The sequence below is a fragment of the Homo sapiens genome, chromosome 11, assembly GCF_000001405.40.
Source record: "Homo sapiens chromosome 11, GRCh38.p14 Primary Assembly".
In the NCBI taxonomy this organism is placed as follows: domain Eukaryota; kingdom Metazoa; phylum Chordata; class Mammalia; order Primates; family Hominidae; genus Homo; species Homo sapiens.
The window spans coordinates 100,069,407-100,092,405 of NC_000011.10; the positions used below are offsets into that span (position 1 = coordinate 100,069,407).

General features: G+C 34.3%; 1 protein-coding gene and 1 long non-coding RNA gene across 13 annotated transcripts in view; one reads left to right on the forward strand and one right to left on the reverse strand.

Moving 5' to 3' along the window:
• The window catches only part of CNTN5 (contactin 5), a 1,337,937-nt gene that overhangs the window by 1,048,458 nt on the left and 266,480 nt on the right, over nucleotides 1-22,999 (forward strand). For all 12 annotated transcript variants that reach the window (XM_017017926.2, NM_014361.4, XM_011542871.2 and 9 more), the window contains 3 exons: nucleotides 1,018-1,154; nucleotides 2,299-2,428; nucleotides 4,738-4,888. In XM_017017926.2, coding sequence (XP_016873415.1) covers nucleotides 1,018-1,154; nucleotides 2,299-2,428; nucleotides 4,738-4,888 — 418 coding nt within the window. The remainder of the gene's footprint in view (nucleotides 1-1,017; nucleotides 1,155-2,298; nucleotides 2,429-4,737; nucleotides 4,889-22,999) is intronic.
• LOC105369456 (uncharacterized) overlaps nucleotides 1-22,999 on the reverse strand; it is a 54,991-nt gene that overhangs the window by 18,156 nt on the left and 13,836 nt on the right. The window lies entirely within an intron of this gene.

The following is a 22,999-nucleotide window of genomic DNA, read 5'->3' on the forward strand; positions in this document are numbered from 1 at the left end:
GGCCTCTCAAATTCCTGATATGACAAGCATGAGCACCGTCCCAGGTCCAACGTGCAGTTGTTTAATACATCTTTTTTCACATGCTCTCCTCTTCCTTGGCAGTGACATTAGACCACCTCTACCGCAGCAAAAACTCTTTTAGAGCCGCTCTGTTTCTGTATTCTTAATAGCCTCTAAGATCGAACAAGAACTATGTAGCATATATGAAACAACATATAAATGAATGAATGATCAAAGCCCTCAGTAGCACATATAAATATTTTACAGTTTTTGCCAAAAATGTTGTTAGAAATAATAAATTCAGTGCAATATTTTTATACGTATTTCTTTGACTGTTTTAAACAGAATATTTGTAAAGAAAGAGTCAGCTTTATTCAACATTTTTCCTTAAAAATTGGCCAATAGTGGAAATGAACTTTAACTTGTATCTTAAGATTTCATATAATTACAACAGTATCTCATTCTTAATAAAATAAATTTTCCTCTGTAACAATTTTGCACAAATAAAAAAATTATATTGCAAGAATGTAAATTAAGAAAAATTTTACAGTGAAATCTGGATTCACAAATCATTTTTCCAAAGTCATTCAGGTGTTATATATATACACAGAGAGATAGAAACAAGTTGAGTAGATACACTGTATATTTCTACCCGTGCTAATGCTGCCCCACTACATTGAAAGAGCAATTGACTCTAGTACCTGACTTCCTATTAAACTGGTTCAGGTGCCTTGGGGATAACTAAACCACTTAAAGTCCAAAAAAAAAAAAAAAAGAAGAAGAAGATTTTGCATAGTTAAAATAGCATTTTATATTATCAAAATATCTTCACTGCTATTTTTTGGGGGTACAGGAAATAGAATTTTGTGTGTAACGCAATGCTGTGCTTCTTCAAAATACCTATGGTTGAATGAATTGCTTTTAAAAAAATACGTTGAATTTTTCCATGTAAATTTTAAACTTGGTAAAGCGTTTGAGAAATGAAATCATCCTTGTTTACTGCTTACATACTTACAGCCTACCCACACTGGGTAGAAAAACTGAATGATACTCAGTTAGACAGTGGGAGCCCTCTCCGATGGGAATGTAAGGCTACTGGAAAACCCAGACCCACGTATCGTTGGCTGAAGAATGGAGTACCCCTCTCACCTCAGGTACTGTTGGGAGTTATTAACCTGTTCTGCTGTAATTTTAGCGAGATTTCACACAGGACAAACTAGGCTTCTTTAGTCTTATTGAAAGCCTTTTCCTGTTTCTGATTCGTATAATAGGACATGTTTGTGTTAAGGATGAATGTTACGGGGATTAACTGAGAATTTAACTCAATGTCTGGGATATAGTAGTCATATATTTTAATATATTTTGAGTGAGAAACATAACAAATATGTAAGCATTTTAAAATTTTAATTACCTCATTACATTTTTTGGTAATACAGTGTTTCTTTAAACTGTTTTCAATCCTATAAATTTTTATGAAACTATCAATATTATCATAGATTTATTTCCATTTGTAGCTAACCTTTAGATATCACCTAAAATTGCTCGGTATCTTCGTTGATAGACAAAGCACTGCCAACTAAGAGTTTTTTTTTTAATGATTTGCTTGGCATTAAGTAGACAAGACATTTGGAGGTTTAACAACATTTAAAATTTAAATTTGTTTTTGAAATATGCTCTTGACTTGAGGTTACCTTAATTTGCACATGCTCAATTTTTTGTTTTTTATACTATCTTATGATACTGAAGTATATTGTCTGACCAATAATTTTATCTAGAATCGAGTCACAAGGCAGTTTTCTATCTGTGTTAGTTTTTTGGGAAGTGAGTGAAAATGGCAAACTCCTGATTGGATCCATATAGTAAAGGGATTGTTCTTATGACCTGGGCTATTTTTAACCTTGATCTCATGTGTCTACAACCTCAGTCTTTTCTACTATATGAATCCTTCTTTCCCTTTGTAAACGGAATGCAAATAAAAGCATCACCTGCTGATTATATTTCACAAGCTCAACTAGTGTACCAAAAAAGACACCTCACTTTAAAAACCAAACTGAAAGTAAAACTTGTCAGAATAACTACAAAAAAATTGTAATTTCTTTTTCAACCAATAAATAACTATAATTTACAAGTGGCATGTTATAATAAAATAATGAACAGTACATTTACATTGCTAAGTGGCCAAATAATGTTTAACTGTATTAATTGCAAACTTGTTTTTTCTTAGTCTAGGAGAGAATACCCATAAAATCCATGTTATTTGTTTACTTTCTAGATCTAATTTTTTTAATTCCATTACAGAGTAGGGTTGAGATGGTTAATGGAGTATTGATGATCCACAATGTGAATCAATCAGATGCTGGAATGTATCAGTGTTTGGCTGAAAATAAGTATGGAGCCATTTACGCTAGTGCTGAGCTGAAGATTCTAGGTATGCAGTTTCTAAGTGAATAAATTGAAAAAAAAAACCTTGCTTCTTTTCATGCTCTAATTTTTACTATACTGAAGGTTTATGATGTGGTTGTAAAAATCTATTTTATGGCTTGAAAAGAAATACTATGTCTTGCTGATTTTTTTTAACTTTAGTAGACAGGTTTATGTTGTGTATAGTTCGTCCCATAACTTTTTGTTCATATAGTTTTTCTAACTTTAGTTTTAATCTTAAAAGGTTTACACAATACGTCTTTGCTATAGCACTTAAAAAAATCATATAAAGAAATACATGTTAACTTCCAAGGAAGAATGCCTTGAGGGTAGGAGATCAGAATATAGAATTCCAGCAGCCTGTCCATGCTCCCATAGCAATGCTTAATAATTTCCCAGGCAGTTCCTATCAGTAGCTGTGTGGCTCCTGCAAAGCAAGACTCCAGGCTAAATCACTCTCTCCTCATGGGGCATCAACTAATACCTTCCTTACTTAACAGGGAAAGGCTTCCTGATGCCAGGCACTACAATCTCATAGGGTTACACCCTTGATAAGAATGTAACCCAGGCACTGCATTTCTTCACTATTTAAATACTACAGGAAACAATCCATCCAGTGAAATAGACTACCCAGAAAAAGCATATATGAGCCATTGGAATGAATTTTACTTTTCCCACTTTGATTTTTTCCTAAACTGGTTCAGGGATGTTTGTAATGTAAAGAAAGATACTCACTCATTGTCTTTCCAAAGCGGGCAGAAGCCCAAGTGTGTTTTCTATTCCCCATTTAAATTTAAATTCTCAAAGCATAACTTAAGAGAAACACCAAAGATCTCAGGAATCTTGGAGCCCACCATTTACATATCAGCTAAATGTAATACATCCTAAAGTGATTTGTTGAATTATGAATATTTGCAGTTGAAATTTCTCCACATTACAACAAATCCATCCAAAATAGTTACAGGATTCTTCCTTTCAATCTCCTTCATTCTAAACAATCAAATGTTAATGAACTTTCTTGTCAACTCACAGTATAATAGCACTGAATTAAAAGGCTGATTCACCCTTCACCTAGTTAGTAGCCCTGAAACATTTCTCAAACCCTTATCATTCACAAGAAATATTTTCAAAATTACTTTTTGTAAATTCTATTCCCAGGAGGCAAAAAAAAAAAAAAAAAAAAAGTTACTTGCAACTATCTCCTCATAAATTTCTTTAGCTTTTTAACTTTTTTTCTTTGAGACAAAATCTCACTGTCGCTCAGGCTGGAGTGCAGTGATGCCATCTCTGCTCACTGCAACCTCCGCCTCCAGGGTTCAAGCGATTCTCTTGCCTCAGCGTCCCAAGTAGCTGAGACTACAGGCACCCACAGCCACACCCAGCTGATTTTTGCATTTTCAGTAGAGATGGGGTTTCACCGTGTTGGCCAGGCTTGTCTTGTACTCCTAACCTCAAGTGATCTGCCCACCTCAGCCTCCCAAAGTGCTAGGATTACAGATATAAGCCACCAGGCCTGGCTAATTTCTTTGGTTTTAAAAAATCTCTTAACCTATCTCAATTCTATACATATCTTTTTCAATGTTGTGACATGCATTATGTTGCTATATGATATATTTTATATATATAATATGAAATACATATAATATCAGATTGGTAAAAGTAAATGTCACAGATACTGTGGACTTGTAGACATCTTTCAGGTTCTCTTTTAGATTCAAAAGTGTTTTGATCTAAATTATAGTATACACAGTATTTATGAATGAATGATCAAACCTAAGTGAAAAATTACAAGTAAAATTGCTAATTGAAATTCAAATAATTCAATTTTAAAAATTAATTTTTAAACAATGTATTATATAAAACATTTAATGTTTTATAATATTAAAGTAATATACAGAATAAATTAAGATTCGTAGATGGGAAATGGAAGACACAGGATTGTCTTTTTCGCAGGTCACCTCCATCTTACCAAAGGAAGGTCAAATGGACTCTGTCAGTTAGCCTTTTGCTCTTTTGCCAAGGTCATTCACTAGTCTTTCATAATTGAAGTTGGTAATCATAATTAGAACATGTCATTTTTTGAAATAGCCTTTACCTGTAGATCCCATATTGTATGAAATCACCTGCTAATGTACTAAGGTACATATTAATTAATAATAAGTAAAATTTTGAGCTACTGCCTTTTTCATGTGTAGATATACTATGATTTTATGAGAAATGCCTCCCAGAAGAAAAAGTTACAAGATCTTCATGAATCACCCATTAGAGATTATTGTCATTGCTTCTGGTAGAAACTAACATTTGCTTTTTTAATAGCTTCAGCTCCCACTTTTGCACTGAATCAACTGAAGAAAACAATAATTGTTACCAAAGACCAAGAAGTTGTCATAGAGTGCAAACCCCAAGGCTCTCCAAAACCAACCATCTCTTGGAAGAAAGGAGACAGAGCAGTTAGAGAAAACAAAAGGTTAGAATCTATTTTATAATTCAAGTTCAACATTAGACTTTTTTGAGGTTACAGGTGACACACACAAACTATGCAAGAAAGAGTCTTGCAGTACCGTGAGACGTATTTTATGAACTGATTGAAACATGGTTTTGCCTATATAGTGATTTTAAAAGAACCCAAAGTTTGACTTCAAAATGGTCAGTCTTCTTTGACTCCATGGGGTTTTAGCATAAGTTGGATATTTCACTAGGTTTTGAAGAAAGTACTCTTTAATTAAACTAATTATTTTTGTTTGTTTTTCATCTTGCTTCTGCATTTAGGAGGTCTACAAATCATCTGTGATAATTTTTAAGCATTGTGTTTTAATTTGATTTTAATACAAATGATAAAAACATATGTGAATCTTCTGGATAATCATGACAGAATACTTTCATGTGATATTTATGCCAATGCTTGTCTTTTTATCCAGGTCATATTTAGGCAAAATAGTATAGGATTATTTTTAGTGCCATAGGCAAATGAGAAGTGAGCAGAGGAATATTTAATATGTAAACATTTGTCTTTGGCAACTAAAGCCAAAGGATATCACAGGAGTACAAATGGAGAAAAAATCATGAGGGAATCAAATCATCACATGGCAATCTATTTGTACCAAATTCAAATGTTCCATGTCCTACTATTATTGATATATTGGTATTACAAATGGTGATTCAACTTTGACAAAATAGTATCCTCTATTATGTCAAAATAATATTGTACTGTATTAGATTTTGTTTAATTGATCTAGAAGTATAAGGAGTTTATGACTTGTTTTATGTTTGTCCCAATCTACATAAAATATAATTAAAATAATTTAAGTCTGCATTAGCGGTTCACTTGAATAATTTCTTAAGTAACAGTGAAACATTTTGAAAAATTTTTAAAAATAGAGTATTTTTGTTTTCCATCAAATCTGAGGGACACTGATTTAAATAGTCTATTTCAGATTAAACAATTTTTGGAATTACTGGCTTCAGCTTAGACCCAAAGATCTATGCTTCTTGGAAAGGGTGATCACCTGGGATTGGGATGGGTCGTCGTTGGCACTCTTACACCAAAAGACCTATCATAAGGGTCAAGGCTGTCATTCAAAACAAAAGACAGGCTAACAAGAGAAAAACATAACACATTTATTTAATCAAAGTTTTGTGTGACACAGGGGCCTTCAGAAATGAAGACCCAAAGACTTAGAGAAAACTCTTTTTATGCTTAGGTTCAGTGAAGAATAGAGAGCCGTGTAGAAATATGATTGGACAAAAAGTATGTGATCTAATGGTTATAGACTGAGAGGGGAAATCCACCAAGGCCTATGTGTTCAGATTCTTCTTGGCCATTTTGTGTGGTATTCCTTTCCTCCAGGTGTAGGACAAATCACCTGTCACATGAGACAATTCAAGGGAGAAGGGAGAAGGTCAATCTTTCTAGGTTTTATAGTTTGCTTTGACGAAGGGAAGTTATAGTTTCTATGATCTGCCTTGGGGGAGAGAATTCTGGTTTCTATCATTCTCTTCAGTAGAGAAAGAGGAGTTTGAAACGGACAGATGGGAGAAGATCAAAAATATCCTGCTTCCAAGGTCCTTTCAGTCTTCTTCAGGTCAAGGTACTCTGTGCCATATTCTGGGGTATCATGTTCTGAGCCCCAACATCGTACAACTTGTTTTAAAAAGAATTTCTCATTCTTAGGTTGGGGGGCGGGTAGCAAATGACAAATTGTGAGATCATTGTTGCCTATGACAGAATTGATCAGATAGTGATTGAATATTAGTGGATTTTTGCTCACAACACTATGATTTTTAAAAAACTGCACAAACCTAATTAAAGTAGAAGAAAATTGTTTTGTTGCATAGTAAGAACAAATAATTTACACTGCTAGGTTATTTTTTCTGGACGTATTAAAAAGCTTACAGTGTCATTAAAATATATATGCCTTATCTACGCAAAACATTCTATCTGAAATGCATGACTTTGTTTTATGTTTCTGGGTGGCATGTGAGTTTTGTCCTATTTATTTCAGTTCACAATAAGAATGTTCTTCATCAACTGTTGAAAAATGACACATGGTGAGTTTAAAAAATTAGGGTGGAACCTCTTTTACCAAAGCAAAAGTATTGAGAGAAGTAACAGGATTATGAGTATTCTATTACAACAACATAAGCTTACTAAATTTTTTATTTTTCAGATGTTGAAAAATACAGTTTGTGAATTTTTCAACTTTCTTGTTTCTCTTCCTTTCTTTACTGCTAACCCTTGGGGTTAGTGAGAAAGATACATTGACCTGAAACTCAGATCACTCAATTTTTTCTAGATGTCAATACTTCCAGTCAAAGTGTTGTTTAGGAAGAAGGCTAAAATGTAATTTTTTTTTTTAATTTATTCAAGTAAAAGCAAGGCTCAGCCACATTTCCTTAGCATTCTGCCTACCTTGATCTACATGTTTTAGGTCAATAAACTGGCTTTATTGAATAACAAAGCCCAGACATATATTGCATTTTTATTCTTAATATTGACAGGCACACTTACAAAATACCATTTTTATTATTGAATGACTTGTTACCATATCTGGCAGCCCTAGGTTTTAAGAAGAAAAATGTAGTTCACTACAAAAAATAATAACACTTAATATTAAATAAGAGGCTAAGATTTCAACAGCAATAGGCAGAATTCCATAATATAAGAAGACACATAGTTGAAAAATTGTACATTCTAAAATTATGACTAGAAACTTAACAATGTCAAATGCCTATATTTTACATTCTTTAAAAGAAGTCTCAGTTACAATGACAACTTATTTTCTTGAGGAAATTTTAGATTGCTTTTCTGTTATAATGCACACCAACCATTTGATTACAGCTCTAAATATAAATTTAAATGGAAACAGAGGTGTTAGAAAACTGTTAAGACTTCAAAAAGTTTGTGTCATTTTTTAATTTATAACTTACATTGGGTGTGGAGATTCAAATCATGGCTTATTTTATTGGAATATAAATATAAATATCACTCATATGATCTACATCAAATATGTGCCCCACTCATCCAACCTACAACAATTGAGACAAAAATGTTGAATGAGTTAGTGTTGTCCTTCAATAAAAATTTTGTTGTTTTGGGTTCATTCCAAAGAACTATTGAAACAGCAAATGGCAGTTTCTGTATAAGAAATAAATAATAATATTATATTGGGGAAAAGGAATTAACATAATAGTATATTATGAAAGAGACATTCAGGCCAGGTACAGTTCTCATGCCTATAATCCCAGCACTTTGGGGGGCCAAGATGCGAGGATCACTTGAGCCCAGGAGTTTGAGACCAGCCTGTGCAACACAGCAAGACTCCTATCTCTACAAAAAATAAAAAAGAAGAAAAAACAACTTAAATAAATAGTCAGGCATGGTGGTGTACGCCTATAGTCCCAGCTACTCAAGAGGCTGAGGTGGGAGGATGGGTTGAGCCTGGGTGGTTTAGCTGAGCCATAATCATACCACTGAGCTCCAGCCTGGATGACAGAGCAAAACCCTGTCTCAAAAATATAATAAAATAAGATCAAAAAGAAATATTTAAAAAAACAAAATACGTCAATTGCTTTCATAGCATAAAATTATGTCCAGAGCAATGGCATAAAAATGTAATATATAGTCTTAATTGCAGGAAAATATAATCTAATCATCTGAAAATATGTCAGAAAATCTCAAAGGTAAATTTAATTTAGCATTACTTAAATTTAACTCTAAATTGTAAATAAAATGATTGAAAATGATAGAACAACTGAAGGTTATAGTTCGTCATTTGTCAACAGAGTGCCAAATAACCATTTGGCTCATTTTTTTCTACCACGTTTTGAGTAAATCTGCCAGGTTTAGTTTTCTTTGTTTTCTTGAAGGTCAGTGTCTTCAAAACACAGTATTTTTTATGTGTATATATTTTGCTAAGGAAATTTAGAAATCATTATTCTAAAGTTGAAAATTTGATAACTAGAAAATAATATGACTTTTAGAAAAAAATATGATTAACAAATTAGCTGCCTGCTTATATATTACCAAACATTTCATTCATTTGGCCCTAAATGATACAACTAAAATATACAAGAAAATGGATTACATCAGAGCTAAGATTTGTTTACATTTGTTTGTTATTTATATCACAGAATGATCAATATGAACTCCCTTCAGATAGTAAATCACATTATTACTAATAATGATGATGACTGCTTATGAGTTCGTAGCGTTTATGATTTGCAAAGCACTTTAACGTTGTTGGTAAAAGTATAAACCAGTGTATGAAAAGAGGACTTACTTGCTCTGCTTATCCTGCAGATTATGAGGTTTCAGTAAGTTACCTAATTTATTATCTTACTAAATTAAAAGAGTAAGCTGATTGGGTTGTGAGAATTAAATGAAATTTTACATGTAAAATATATTGCCTAGTGTATGACATCTACTCAGTACTCAGTGAATGTTATGTATAATGATAATGATACTGATGACGATGATGATGGTGGTGGTGGTGGTAATGGTGATAGTGATAATGATGGTATCTGTATCAAGCCATTTTCCTACTCCTATAAAGTACTGCCCAAGACTGGGTAATTTATAAAGGAAAGAGGTTTGATTGACTCACAGTTCAGCATGGCTGGGGAGGCCTCAGGAAACGTACAATCATGGCGTAAGGCAAAGCAGGTGCAAGGAACCTTCTTCACAAGGAGGCAGGAAGGAGAAGTGCCAAGGAAAGGGGGAAGAGTGCCTTATAAAACCATCAGATCTATGAGAACTCATTCCCTATCACGAGAACAGCGTGCGGAATACCACTCCCGTGATTCAGTTACCTCTACCTGATCTCTCCCTTGACATATAGGGATTATGGGGATTATAATTCAAGATGAGATTTGGGTGGGGACACAAAGCCTAACCGTATTAATATAATTTGTACCTTTGAATCTTAGAATACTGGCATCCATTTCTGTTATCAGTAGTCTGGAAATGCTTACCATTCTCCTTTCTTTCTCCAGTCATTAAGGAAAAGAATACCTAAGATTTGTTTCCAAGGACTAAAGGAGTCTTTTACATCTTTTATGTCATAAATTTGTTATTCATCAATCTATGTCCGCAAATCACTATTCTTTGTTCATCAGAGCCCCAAACCTGTCGTCATTTATTCCTGGCATTGAAAATCTCATCTCCCTTACCTATTTCTAGCTCAATGTCTTTGGAATAGGTTCCTGTCCTAGCCGACCAAATATTTACTTGTTCCATTAACATTTTATAGGCCATGTGCAAATAGACAAATAGACATGGGGAGTTAATGGAAATAGAAATGAAGTATTTTAAAGACTTTTTTTTTCACTGTTTTTCTTTAAGGGCTCTCCAGGTTTTCCCCCCATCACTTTCACTTTTGAAGATTACTGGCACACAGTCACTTAGGTTCCTGTATCAATCATTTCCCTTTTCATACTGAAACTAATAAACTCCAGAAGTACTAGTAAGTAAAATATTCCACAGGGATTTTCTCCTCTAGCAGACCTTCATTCAGAATGTTCTGCTCATCAAACTCATATTGGATTTTCACTCCAGCTCATTATTTCCATTACTTGGCCATTAACTTTTGTTAAAATATAATCATCCAGAAGCACTCCAGCAGTGCACAAATATTAAGTCTTCATTATTACATGTTCAATTTCCTGTACTTTTTGTGGACAAAGACAATCTTAGCTAAAATGAAGAATACATAGTTTTTGATAAAGGTATAGTTTATTTTGTTTCCTTTCCATAAGTGCATATATAAACTGTTGTTGAACCTCATAGAATGTCATATATGTTTAAAATTATTCACAATTATTGAAATTTCAACATATTTTAAGCACTAGTTTTTATGCCCAGGCAGAGTAAGGTAACAGTTATGAAGATAATGGACTATAATTCAAACTGGTGCTTAAGAAATCCTGCATACAAAAAAAATAAAATTATCCTATGGAGGTGCAGTATTATAGAATAATTTTTCTTTTATGGGACTGTAATCTAAGCAAAGACTTGTCCAAAATCTGACATAATGGCCCCCTGCTCACTAAAGGAGCTTCAGAAAGGCAAAATTTTCAACTTATTTAACACGCATAGAAAATTGCACTAGAAATACCCATTATTTGACTTCTAGTGGGAATTCATGTTGTGTTTATTAGGCAACAATGATGAAGCTCACATACTGACTCAGAGACATATGGGAAAATCTGTTCTTAACAAAAGCCCTAAAGGACACTGTTGCTGAGAAGAAAGCAAGGTCTTCTTATTTTATCTATGGAAGAAGAATTCATGGGTATAATTAGGGCCCTGTTTTTGTCCCTTTGTTTCCACCTACATGCTGGGTTTGCTAATGAACAAGCTGTTTTGTTGTTTCCTCTGTGACAGTGTCTTTTACATATTAAGAACGTAAAACAATATAAACTTTAAGTATCTGGGTTTTCCTTAGTGTGTAAGAAATTGTATAATGAAAGAAAATTAGCATTCATAAATCAAGAATGTACAATTTGAATTTATATGTGAATTAATATCTATGTTTTCAAAAGAAATAAAATGATTAAATGGCATTGTTTACCTAAAGGAAGAAAGGTTTATATCTGAATTTATAAGATTTAGTAACTATAAACTGCTTACTATATAAGATGCCTTAGTACTCAGGGATGGTTTCTTGCTGTTTCCTATCCATGAACTTAAGGGGATGAGAAGGAAATGGCCTTACATTCATTATGATGAGATTAAGATACTGACTTCCTGATTTCAGTGAAAGCTAACTGCACAAGACTCTGCCTGAGTCACCTTCTTCATCTTTTCCTTAGAATGCTAATTTTTTATTAGAAAAAATTTTAAAATATAAAGCATTAGCATTTTATTATATTTTATTAGAAAAATATAAAAGGAAAGAAAACACAGTCATAGCAGCATTGGAAATTAAGAATATATAGCATTGGAAATTAAGAATTGTTGACTTCTGGGAGGAATCACCGTTTCATATAGAAATGAGCTAAATTAAGAATTTATCAATGAGTTGTTGAAAGCTAGACCTCTGAAACTTTAATGAAGTCAATTAAGAAACCAGCAGAGGAAAAATTTTACTCACTTCTACTTTATGTCCATATCTACTAAATTCAGAAATTGCATCTTACTACAGAAGCTGGCTTGAACCTCCCTCCCACCTGCAAGGTGGTAAGATGCTATGTCCGTATTCCACCCCATCTGAACTAATCCAACACTTTTTGGACATTATGAATCCAGCAATGGGGTGAGAGAGGACATAAATCTTAGGATTTCAAGTGATTAGCAAATAAAGCATAATGTCAACAAATGGTGATACTGAGGAAAAATTGAAATTCATGGATTCTGGAAATTATGTAATTCCGTGTACTACTTCTAGCAAAAGAAGGACTATATACCGTTTCTAATTTTTCAGGAGTAAATTTACCTCTAGATACGACTAAGGACTAGAAAATGGAAATTGACAAACATCTCACCTCAGTCCAGTTGAGCTTCATTATAGCCTTAGTAGACCTTGAGCGTTTGACTACAGCTGTGTACCTAACTGACCTTGAGATTAATATTTGGGGAACAGATTCTGGAGCACTGAGAGAAAAAAGAGACAAATAAAACTGAAAATATTGCCAATTGGCAAAAATAGGCCTATAGACATAGGAGTACAAGAGAGTTTAAAGCACAAACACACATTAAGCATGACAGTTAACTGATAGTCATAAATTTGGTAACAAGATGTCAAGCAAATATAAAAAGAATCATCATCATGCTTAAGTACAATACAAAAAAATTGTGTGTGTATGGGTGTGTGTACAAATAAGTTAATAAATATCAGGAGTTGCAAAGCAAAAAGCTGAAAGCATTCTAAATCATGGTGGCAACGCAAGTAAATATAGTCATAGTCCATATAGGAAAAATTAAAGATTTACAAAAAACAGATATATTGTAGAAGCATTGTAGGTTTGCTTTTATTGAGATAGGGTCTCACAATGTCACCCAAGCTGGAGTGCAGTGGCACATACACAGCTCACTGCAACCTCGACCTTCCAGGGTCAAGCATTTGTCCCACCTCAGCCTCTCGAGTAGCTGGGACCACAAGAGCACACTGTCACCACCATGCCTGGAAAATTTTTTTAATTTGTTTTGGTAGAGATGGGGTCTCACCATGTTGCCCAAGCTTGTCTTGAATTCATGGGCTTAAGCACTCCTCCCAGCTTGACCTCCCAAATTGCTAAGATTATACGTGTGAGCCACTCTGCCCAGCCCACTGTGGGCTTTTTTAATTACATTTTTGATGAGTACTTAAGGACAATGATAAAATAATGGTATATTATCAGTGGAAGAAATCATTGAACACGGTAGAAATTTCATTTGAAGAGAAAATGTCTGCATGGACACAAATACATTAAAAATACTGGAAATAAATGCAGCTAATTGTTCACAGGTTATCTCTGAGAAGAGGATTATAGATAATTTTCAACGCCACTTTATGCATTTCTCTTTTGCATCACTGTGAGGAAATACCTGAGGCATGGTAATTTATAAAGAAAAAGAGGTTTAATTGGCTCACAGTTCTACAGGCCATACAGGAAGTGGGATGCCAGCATCTCCTTCAAGTGAGGACCTCAGGAAACTAACAAGCAAAGTAGAAGGTGAAGCAGAAGCAGGCACCTCACATGGCCAGAGTGGGAGCAAAAGAGATAAGAAGGCTGGGTGCAGTGGTTCACACCGGTAATCCCAGCATTTTGGGAGGCTGAGGCAGGCGGATCACCTGAGGTCAGGAGTTCGAGACCAGCCTGGATAACATGGTGAAACACTGTTTCTACTAAAAATACAAAAAATTAGCTGGGCGTGGTGGTGCATTCCTGTAATCCCAGCTACTCGGGAGGATGAGGCAGGAGAATCACTTGAACCCAGGAGGCAGAGGTTGCAGTAAGCTGATATTGTACCACTGTACTCCAGCTTGGGCAATGAGAGCAAAACTCTGTCTCAAAAAAAAAAAAAAAGAGAGATGGGAAGAGGTCCCAGAGTATTTTAAACAACCACATATTTAGTGAACTGAGCAAGAACTCACTTATCATCAGGGGATGATGCTATACCATTCACAAGGGATCTGCATCTGTGATCTAATCACTTCCTACCAGGCCCCATCTCCAACACTGGGAATCTGATTTCAACATAGGGTTTGGAGGGGACAAACATGTAAACCGTACTATCCATATTTCTAAGCTTGGTCTCTTTAAGAGAATTAATAACCCAAAATAATGCAAATTTATTGAATAACAGTGTACTCACACTCTGCCAAATAGTTGAATGAGAATGGGAAAAAAATTCTCACATTTTCAAATAATTCCATTTTCAACAGTATGTTTACATAGTATAACGATGATCACAAATATCTAAATTAATGGCATCCACTTAAACACAGAAGATCAGAAGATAAACACTTCAGGAACTCTCAAAATATCAGTTCCTAATATTTTCCAAATTTAGGGTGATGGAAAACCTAAACACTCCTCTTTAAAGTCCTTCAAATATTTTCTTTTTCTTGACCACTCCACCAGTTTGTTTCTAGATTTCACTTTTTTCTTAATTGTTGAATATAATAAAATAAGTCTCAACTCCCAACGAGAGATAACACTGAGAAACTCAGTTAATTTAAGCTGTAAATGACAACAGAACAAGTCTGGTTTGTTGTACTATGAGCACCTCCAGTTTTTGACTTTACATGTTACATCTCTAGCTAATTACCAGTTTAGGAAACAGTTTATGAATTCTACTTCTAACCATGGTTCATTTACCCCAGTTACTATAAATTGCTTCACAAGTTGCCTGGTTGTGCTCTCCACATAAGCACAACTTGAACAAGCCATTAATTGCTCACAGGTTTTTCTTTTCCAAAAGCCCCCCAGACTACAACTTTCAGCTTAATTTGTCCTTAATACAAACAGCATCTAAAATACTTGGGAATTCAAGCATCTAAGTATATGCTCCTAACTGATTCGACTACCTCCCCAAGTGACTCTTCAGTGAATATAAAATGGTGAGGAGAGAAGATTCTGAGGCTGCTTAGAAAAAAAGCATTGTACGGTCGAGATTTTTAGCATCCTCTGAGAATTACATAGTCACTTCTTTTCAGATTTTGCATAAATCACGATGTAATTTAACTTTGGTTAATTTATAATGAGAATTAGAGGTTTGGTTACAAATTAAAGCATAGTACAATGATAACCTTGACTACAAATGGAAAGAAACTGTACATCATTTCCATGAAATATAACATATACAGATGTTATCATTTGCATGCTTACATCTCTGTGTTCCAATGACAGTGTGGTTTCTGAAAAAAAAAGAGGTAGGTAGGTAGGTAAGTAGGGAGATAGATTGATAGTTAATAAAATACCTATACATTTTAAGATGATTACTATGTTATTAGTTAATAGCTGGAGTTTTCAAGATACCAATATGATTTTGTTCCTCTTTCTTTCCAGTTGCAAATGGTAGCTCTACTTCTCCTTTTCCTTAATGGAGAGAGAAAACCTTTCTTTCTCTACCCTCTGAAGGTTCAGTAACTGAGTCTATGAAATATAAACCGACAGTAGACAGATTAATAAGACAAAATGCATACAAATTGATTGTGTGCACAGGGGCATCACAGAAAGAAAAGTGAGTACCCAGTAACCCAATGAAGTTTAGAAGCTTATATATCCTTTTCATAGAAGAGAGGGGTGGTGGGATATAGGCCACTTAAGGGGGAGTAAATAATTTTGGGGAGAGAATGAATAGGCCCAAAGAGCACGTGGTAACCAGTGAGAAATTCTGTCTGGGTGTGGCGCTAACTTCCGGTCTTTTTTTCTGGGATATGTGTCAATTTCTCACAATGATGAGTTTCCTGGGGAGGAGATCCAGGATGAATTGAATTTTTTCTGGAGTATCTGGTATCAAAACAATAAGAAAAATTCAGAGAAAACCTCTGCCTGCTGCTGCTGGTCCCCAGGTGCCTTCAATTTAAAGTAATCAGCACAACAAAACTTCATATTTTGGGATAACATTCCCAAAACTCCTTCACCCTCATGCAGCAGACACATGGTCTATGAACAGTTATATTCAATTCAATTTATTTCCATAAAAACTAAACTTTCTTCAACATATACTGTATATAAGACACTATGCCAGTTCATACCAAGATAAGTAAGAGAGAATCCCATCTCCCAAGGAGGCACCTGTCTGGTGGAAAATAAAACTAATATAGACACCTATAAAATAGGATAAACTAAGGTAATAATAAAAATAGGACTGACTGAGCATTGGGTATTTTTATATTGCATTACTTTATTAAAGTCCTCAAAATAAGATACGATTTTAAATAATATAATCCTGATTATAAATAATTAAATCATAGAGAGACTGCCTAAGCACACACACTCGTAACAAGTAACAGAGCCAAAATGAGAGCGTCCTAATTCTGTTTGAATCTAAAACCTGTTCTCAGTCTACTGTACCATACAAAAAACTTTGAGAGTTAAGAAAGAAGAAAATAAAATCTAGATAAAAGATAAGCTTCCTGGGGGAACTGCCATTGAAGTGGTCTTGGAATAGGATTTTAACACAGAGGGACAGAGTATATTTTAGGAAGAGACTTCAGAATTTGCAAAAATAGTTATGAATTCAGGACACTTTTGGGAAAGTAAATACTAATATTTGTCCAGGGTATAGACTATGTATCAAAATGAAAAATCTGCTGAAACAATTGAATAGCTGAAGACAAATAAAGAAGAACTTGAATGCACAGATTGAGTTCAAGCTTAACTTAGTAGCCAAGAGGTAGTCTTTGAAAGACTCAGTTCACATCTTTTTGAATTAATATCTTTTATTTAATTTTTTAAATTATATTTATTTTATAGAAAAATGCCCACTAATTACTCTGTCTACCAAAGAGAAAAGAATTAAAGTTACGACTTAAATATAAAATATATAAATAAATATTACTTAAATATCCTTGTTTCAACAACGAGCTAGCAAGAAGCTAGAAGGAAACTTCTGGTATCAAAACAATAAAAAAAAAGAAAAATTTTTAGTGCAACCAGTAAAAGCATTGAAATAAGGTATGCTATTTCCAAACTAGTTAAAAAAATAAATATAATGAAAAGTTAACCAATCAAAAAACAGAGGGATATATGTACATATACCAATAAAAAAACAGAGGGATATATATATCCATATATATGTATGTGTGTGTGTATATATATATGAGATAATAGAAAGCATAAAATAATTCAGAAAAACCAAATATATCAGAAATTACTGTAAATACCGAACTAGAAATAAAAATTCAGCAATTATATGTAAGAGCTTTGTTTTAAGCAAAAATAAATAGCAAAGTTGAAAGTTAATAATGGGAAAAAATGAATCATATAATATTAACCCCCCAAAACTTGTTTAACTATATCAATACAAGAAAAACAGACTATACAAGAAGGAATATAAAAATAGTATAAAATTTCCCCACTATCAGAGTGGGGAATCTCAAATATATTCCTTGTATTTCAGAATATAAGGGAAAATTTATCGCTCTATGTATTTATGTTACAAAAGAGGGGAGTTGAAAATGAATGAGCTGAGCTTCTATCTTAAGAAATTAGGAAACGAACATGAAACTAAAAGTAAATGCAAGAAAATAATAAATTCAAAAATAATTCAATTACAAACAAATATAAGCACAATTAGAAGATTGGTAAAGTCAAATATTGATACTTTCAGAGGACCAAGAAAATGAACATATCTGTAGTAATCCTAAAATCAAGAAAAGAGCTACAAAATACTGAGAGCAAAAATGAAAAATAAGCACAGATGCCATAAACAGATAAAAAGAAAATAAAAACATGATAAATAATTAAATGACAAAAAATTGGATCATTTGATTAAATGAATAAAAAATGATATTTCAAATTGACTCAAGAAGAATTGAAAAATTTAAATAATTTCATAACTATTAAATTAGTAGTTAAAAAATCTTCAAACATACACCAAAAAACTCAAGGTGTAAATGCTTTCAGTAGAAATTTCTACCAAAAAAAATAAGAACAAATGATCCCAATTGTACACAGTTATTTCACAGTATAGAAAAGAGGGAAAATAACCCTAACAACAAAATTTGCCAAAGACAATATGAGAAGTAAAAACACAAGCCAATCACCCTCATGAACATAGATGACATTATATAATGATAAAGGGTTCAATTCAACAAGAAGACTTAACTATCCTAAATATACATTCACCCAATACTAGAGAACCCAAATTCATAAAGCAAATACTTCTAGACCTGCAAAAAGACTTAGCCACACAACAGTAGTGGGGGAACTCAACATCCTACTTAGAGCATTAGACAGATCATCAAATCAGAAAACTAATTTAAAAATTCTGGACTTAACTTGACCAACTGGACTTAATAGAAATCTACAGAATACTCTACCCATTGACCACACAATATACATTCTTGTCATCTGCACATGAAACACACTTCCAAGATCTACCACATGCTTGGCCATAAAGCAAGTCTTAATAAACTAAAAAAATAGAAATCATACCAAGAACAGTGGAATAAAAATAGAAATTAATACCAAGAAGACCTCTCAAAATTACTCAATTACATGGAAATTTAACAACTTGCTCCTGAATGACTTTTGAGTAAAACAATAAAATTAAGGCAGAAATAAAAAAAAAAATTCTTTGAAATAAATGAAGAGACACAACACACCAAAATCTCTAAGATGCAAATAAGCACAATCAGAAATGACAAAGATGACATTATCACCAATCACACAGACATACATAAAATCCTCAGAGACTATTATGAACACCTCTATACACACAAACCAGAATATCAAGAAAAAATGGATAAATTTCTGAAAAGCAGTGTTAAGAGGGAAGTTTACAGCACTAAATGCCTACCTTGAAACATGAGAAACATCTCTAACAATCTAACATCATACCTAGAGGAACTAGATAAATAAAAACAAACTAAACCCAAAGCTAGCAGAAGAAAAGATATAACTAAAATTAGAGCAGAGCTGAATAAAATACTGAGAAACAAAAGTTCATGCAAAGAATCAATGAAACCAAATTTGGTTCTTTAAAAGGATAAGCAAAATTGACAGACTGCTAGCTAAATTAACAAAGAAAATGAGAGGACATCCAAATAAGCACAATAAGAAATGACAAAGGTCACATTACAACCAATCCCACAGAAATACATAAGATCCTCAGAGACTATTATGAACACCTCTATGCACACAAATCAGAATATCTAGATGAAATGCATAAATTTATGAAAACACACATTCTCCCAAGATTGAATCAGGAAGAAATTAAAAGCCTGAACAGACCAGTATCCAGTTCCAAAATGCAATCAGTAATAAAAACCTACCAACCAAAAAACACTGAGGACCAGATTAGTTCACTGACAAATTCTACCAAACATACAAGAAAGAGCTGATATCAATTCTACTGAAATGATTCCAAAAAGACAAAGAGGAGGGGCTCCTCCCTAAGTGACTCTATGAAGCCAGCATCACTCCAATATCAAAACCTGGCAAAGATACAACAAAAAAGAAAGCTACAGGCCAATATCCCCAATTAAAAAAACAAAACATTCTCTAAATATACTAGCAAACCTAATCTAAAGGCACGTCAAAAAGCCAATTGACCCTGATTAGGTAGGTTTTATTTCTGGGATGAAAGGTTGGTTCAACATATGCAAATCAATAAATGTGATTCATATGTTTGTTGAACACATGTATGTCTTCTTTTGAGAAGTGTCTGTTCATGTCCTTTGCCCACTTTTTAATGGGGTTGTTTGTTTTTTTCTTGTAAATTTATTTAAACTCCTTGTAGATTCTGGATGTTAGACCTTTATCAGATAGGCAGATTGCAAAAATTTCCTCCCATTCTGTACATGCAGCCAACAAACATATGCAAAAAAGCTCAACATCACCGATCATTATAGAAAGGCAAATTAAAACCACGATGAGATATCATCTCATGCCAGTTAGAATGGTTATTATTAAAAAGTTATAAAACAATGGATGCTTGTTGGGCTGTGGAGAAATGGAAACACTTTTACACTCTTGGTGAGAATGTAAATTAGTTCAACCATTGAGTAAGACAGTGTGGCCATTCCTCAAAGACCTACAACCAAAAATACCATTTGACCTAGCAATCCCATTACTGGGTGAATACCCAAAGGAATACAAATTATTCTATTATAAAGATATGTTCCTTGCAACACTATTCACAATAGCAAATACATGGAATCAAACCAAATGCCCTTCATTGATAGACTGGATAAAGAAAACATGGTACATATACGTCATGGAATACTATGAAGCCATAGAAAGGGACAAGATCATGTCCTTTGCAGGGACGTTGATGGAGCTGGAAGCCATTATCCTCAGCAAACTAATGCAGGAACAGAAAACCAAACACCACATGTTCTCACTTATAAGTGGGAGCTGAACATGAAAACAGATGAACACAGGGAGGGGAACACCATACACTGGAGTGGGTTGGGGAGTAGAGGGGAGGGAGAGAATTGGGAAAAGTAGCTAATGCATGCTGGGTTTAATACCTAGGTGATGGGTTGACAGGTGCAGCAAACCACCATGGCAGACGTTTACCTATGTAACAAGCCTGCACATCCTGAACATGTATCCCAGAACTTTAAATTACACTTTTAAAATATGTGATTCACCACAAAAACAGAATTAAAAACAAAAACCATATGATCTTCTCAATAGATAGAGAAAAACTTTCAATAAAATCCAACATTTTATGATAAAATCCCTCAAGAAATTAGGCATTGAAAGAACATATCTCAAAACAATAAGAGCCATCTGTGACAAACCCACAACCAACATCATACTGAATGGGCAAACAATGGAAGCATTCACCTTGAGAACTAGAGAAAGACAAGGATGCCCAATATCAGCACTCCTCTTCAACCAGTTAGAATGGTTATCTTTAAAAACAGCAGTGAAACCTGATCAATTTGTTATTTTCTTTTTCCCTCTGTCCCTCTTTCTTTTTCTTTTCTTTTCTGCCTGCCTGCCTTCCTTCCTTCCTTCCTCTCTTTCTCTTTCTTTCTTTTTCTCTCTTTCCCTCCCTCCTTTCCTCCTTTCCTCCCTCCCTCCCTCCCTCCCTCCCTTCCTTCCTTCCTTCCTTCCTTCCCTCCCTCCCTCCCTCCTTCCTTCCCTCCTTCCTTCTTTCACATCAGAAATTTAATTCTCACTGTCTGGGGGCTAGGAAGTCCCAGTACAAGCTACCAGGAGATTCAGTGCCTGGTGAGAGCTCACTCTCTGGTTCACAGACAGTGCCATTTCACTGTGTCCTTACATGGTAGAAAGTTCATTTATTTTTGTCTTTAATATCTATCATTGATTTATATTTTGTGCACTGCTAATCCTTAATCAATTTTTACCACAGAAATAAAATCTTTTGAACTGCTTAAAGTTGTTTTCTCTCTCTATCTACACACATAATACACATCACTTTACCCCAATAGCCTAAGAACTGGCCTCTCTTTATCCAGTCTTGCTCTGTACAGCATTCTCTATCCAGCAATCAGAGTTTTAATTTTAGAAAATAACTTGAATCATGTCAGTTTACTTTTTGAAACTTTCCAATGGCTTCCCCATTATTTGGAATAAAATTACAACTCCCTTCTACGACACATGAGACTCTGCATGAGCTAACTTCTGCCTTTGTCTTTCTCTTTGTCCCATTCCCGCATTTCTTCATGCTCATGAAAGTCCAGCCCCATCATTACACTCCCTGTTCGGTGCATGCAGTAGATTTATTCCTACTGCAGGACAAGGCACCACTTATCTCCTCAGCTTGAAGTACTGTTGCCCAGAGTGTTGCCTTATGGTCTCCTGAAATCTAGGTCTCAGGTCAAATGTTACCTTCTCGGAGGCCTTCCTGACCCTCTATCTGAAATTATTACCCCTATCCTTGTTACTTCTCTCACACATCTCATCTGGTGTTCTTCAAATCACTCATCACACTCTGCAATGTTCTTTTTGGTTTATTTTTTATTTATTCTTTTTTTTTTTTTTTTTTTTTTGAGACAGAGTCTCACCCTTTTGCCCAGGCTAGAGCGTACTGGTGTAATCTCGGCTCACTGCAAACTCCGCCTCCTGGGTTCAAATGATTCTCCTGCCTCAACCTCCTGAGTAGCTGAGATTACAGGTGCCCACCACCATGCCCAGCTATTTTTTGTATTTTCAGTAGAAAATGGGTTTCACCACGTTGGCCAGGCTGGTCTTGAACTCCTGACCTTGTGATCCACCCAACTCGGTCTACCAAAGTGCTGGGATTACAGGTGTAAGCCACCGCGCCCAGCCTATTTATTCATTTTTTATTTGTCTCACTAACTAAAATTGAATCAGGGGGCTTGTTTGCTTTTCATTCAGTGACCCCAGAGCCTAGAATTATCCTTTGTACATGTGGAAGCTAAAAAATATGTTTTAAATGAATTTTTGGAGTAACACATGTACCCAGGTCTTCTGCAGTTCCTACCTTATATGTGTCCATGACTCAACCTCACAAAAGTGTGTGTAGATGGTAATAGCTCAAGCTAATTTATTAAGGATATTATGAGGAATGAATGAGACAGTATTATATACCACTCTGAATTTCTTTGAAAAAATATAATAACAAAAATCATATTATTATGACTACTTTCATATTACTCAGATAAAGAGTAATTACTTTTTTATGGTTAAAATAGCATGGAAATTGAATCAGAAGGTTGTAAGCAGAAGTAGGGTCAGTTCCCTTTGTTTATTTAAGAATATTAACTAAGCTGAGTTGGATTTTCAAGAAAGCTTGTTTTCTACTAGTTTAAATTCTGATTATCTGGTCAACTGAATTTTTAGAACTATCACTAAATTAAAAAGAAACAGCAGTGGGGTGTAACTTTTCTCATCTTTACTTCATTTACCCGGTGAAGCATCTGCAAAGCCTCTGTGGGAGGTTTAAATGCTAATATTCAGAAAAGCAGTCTTGGAAGCAAACACCCAG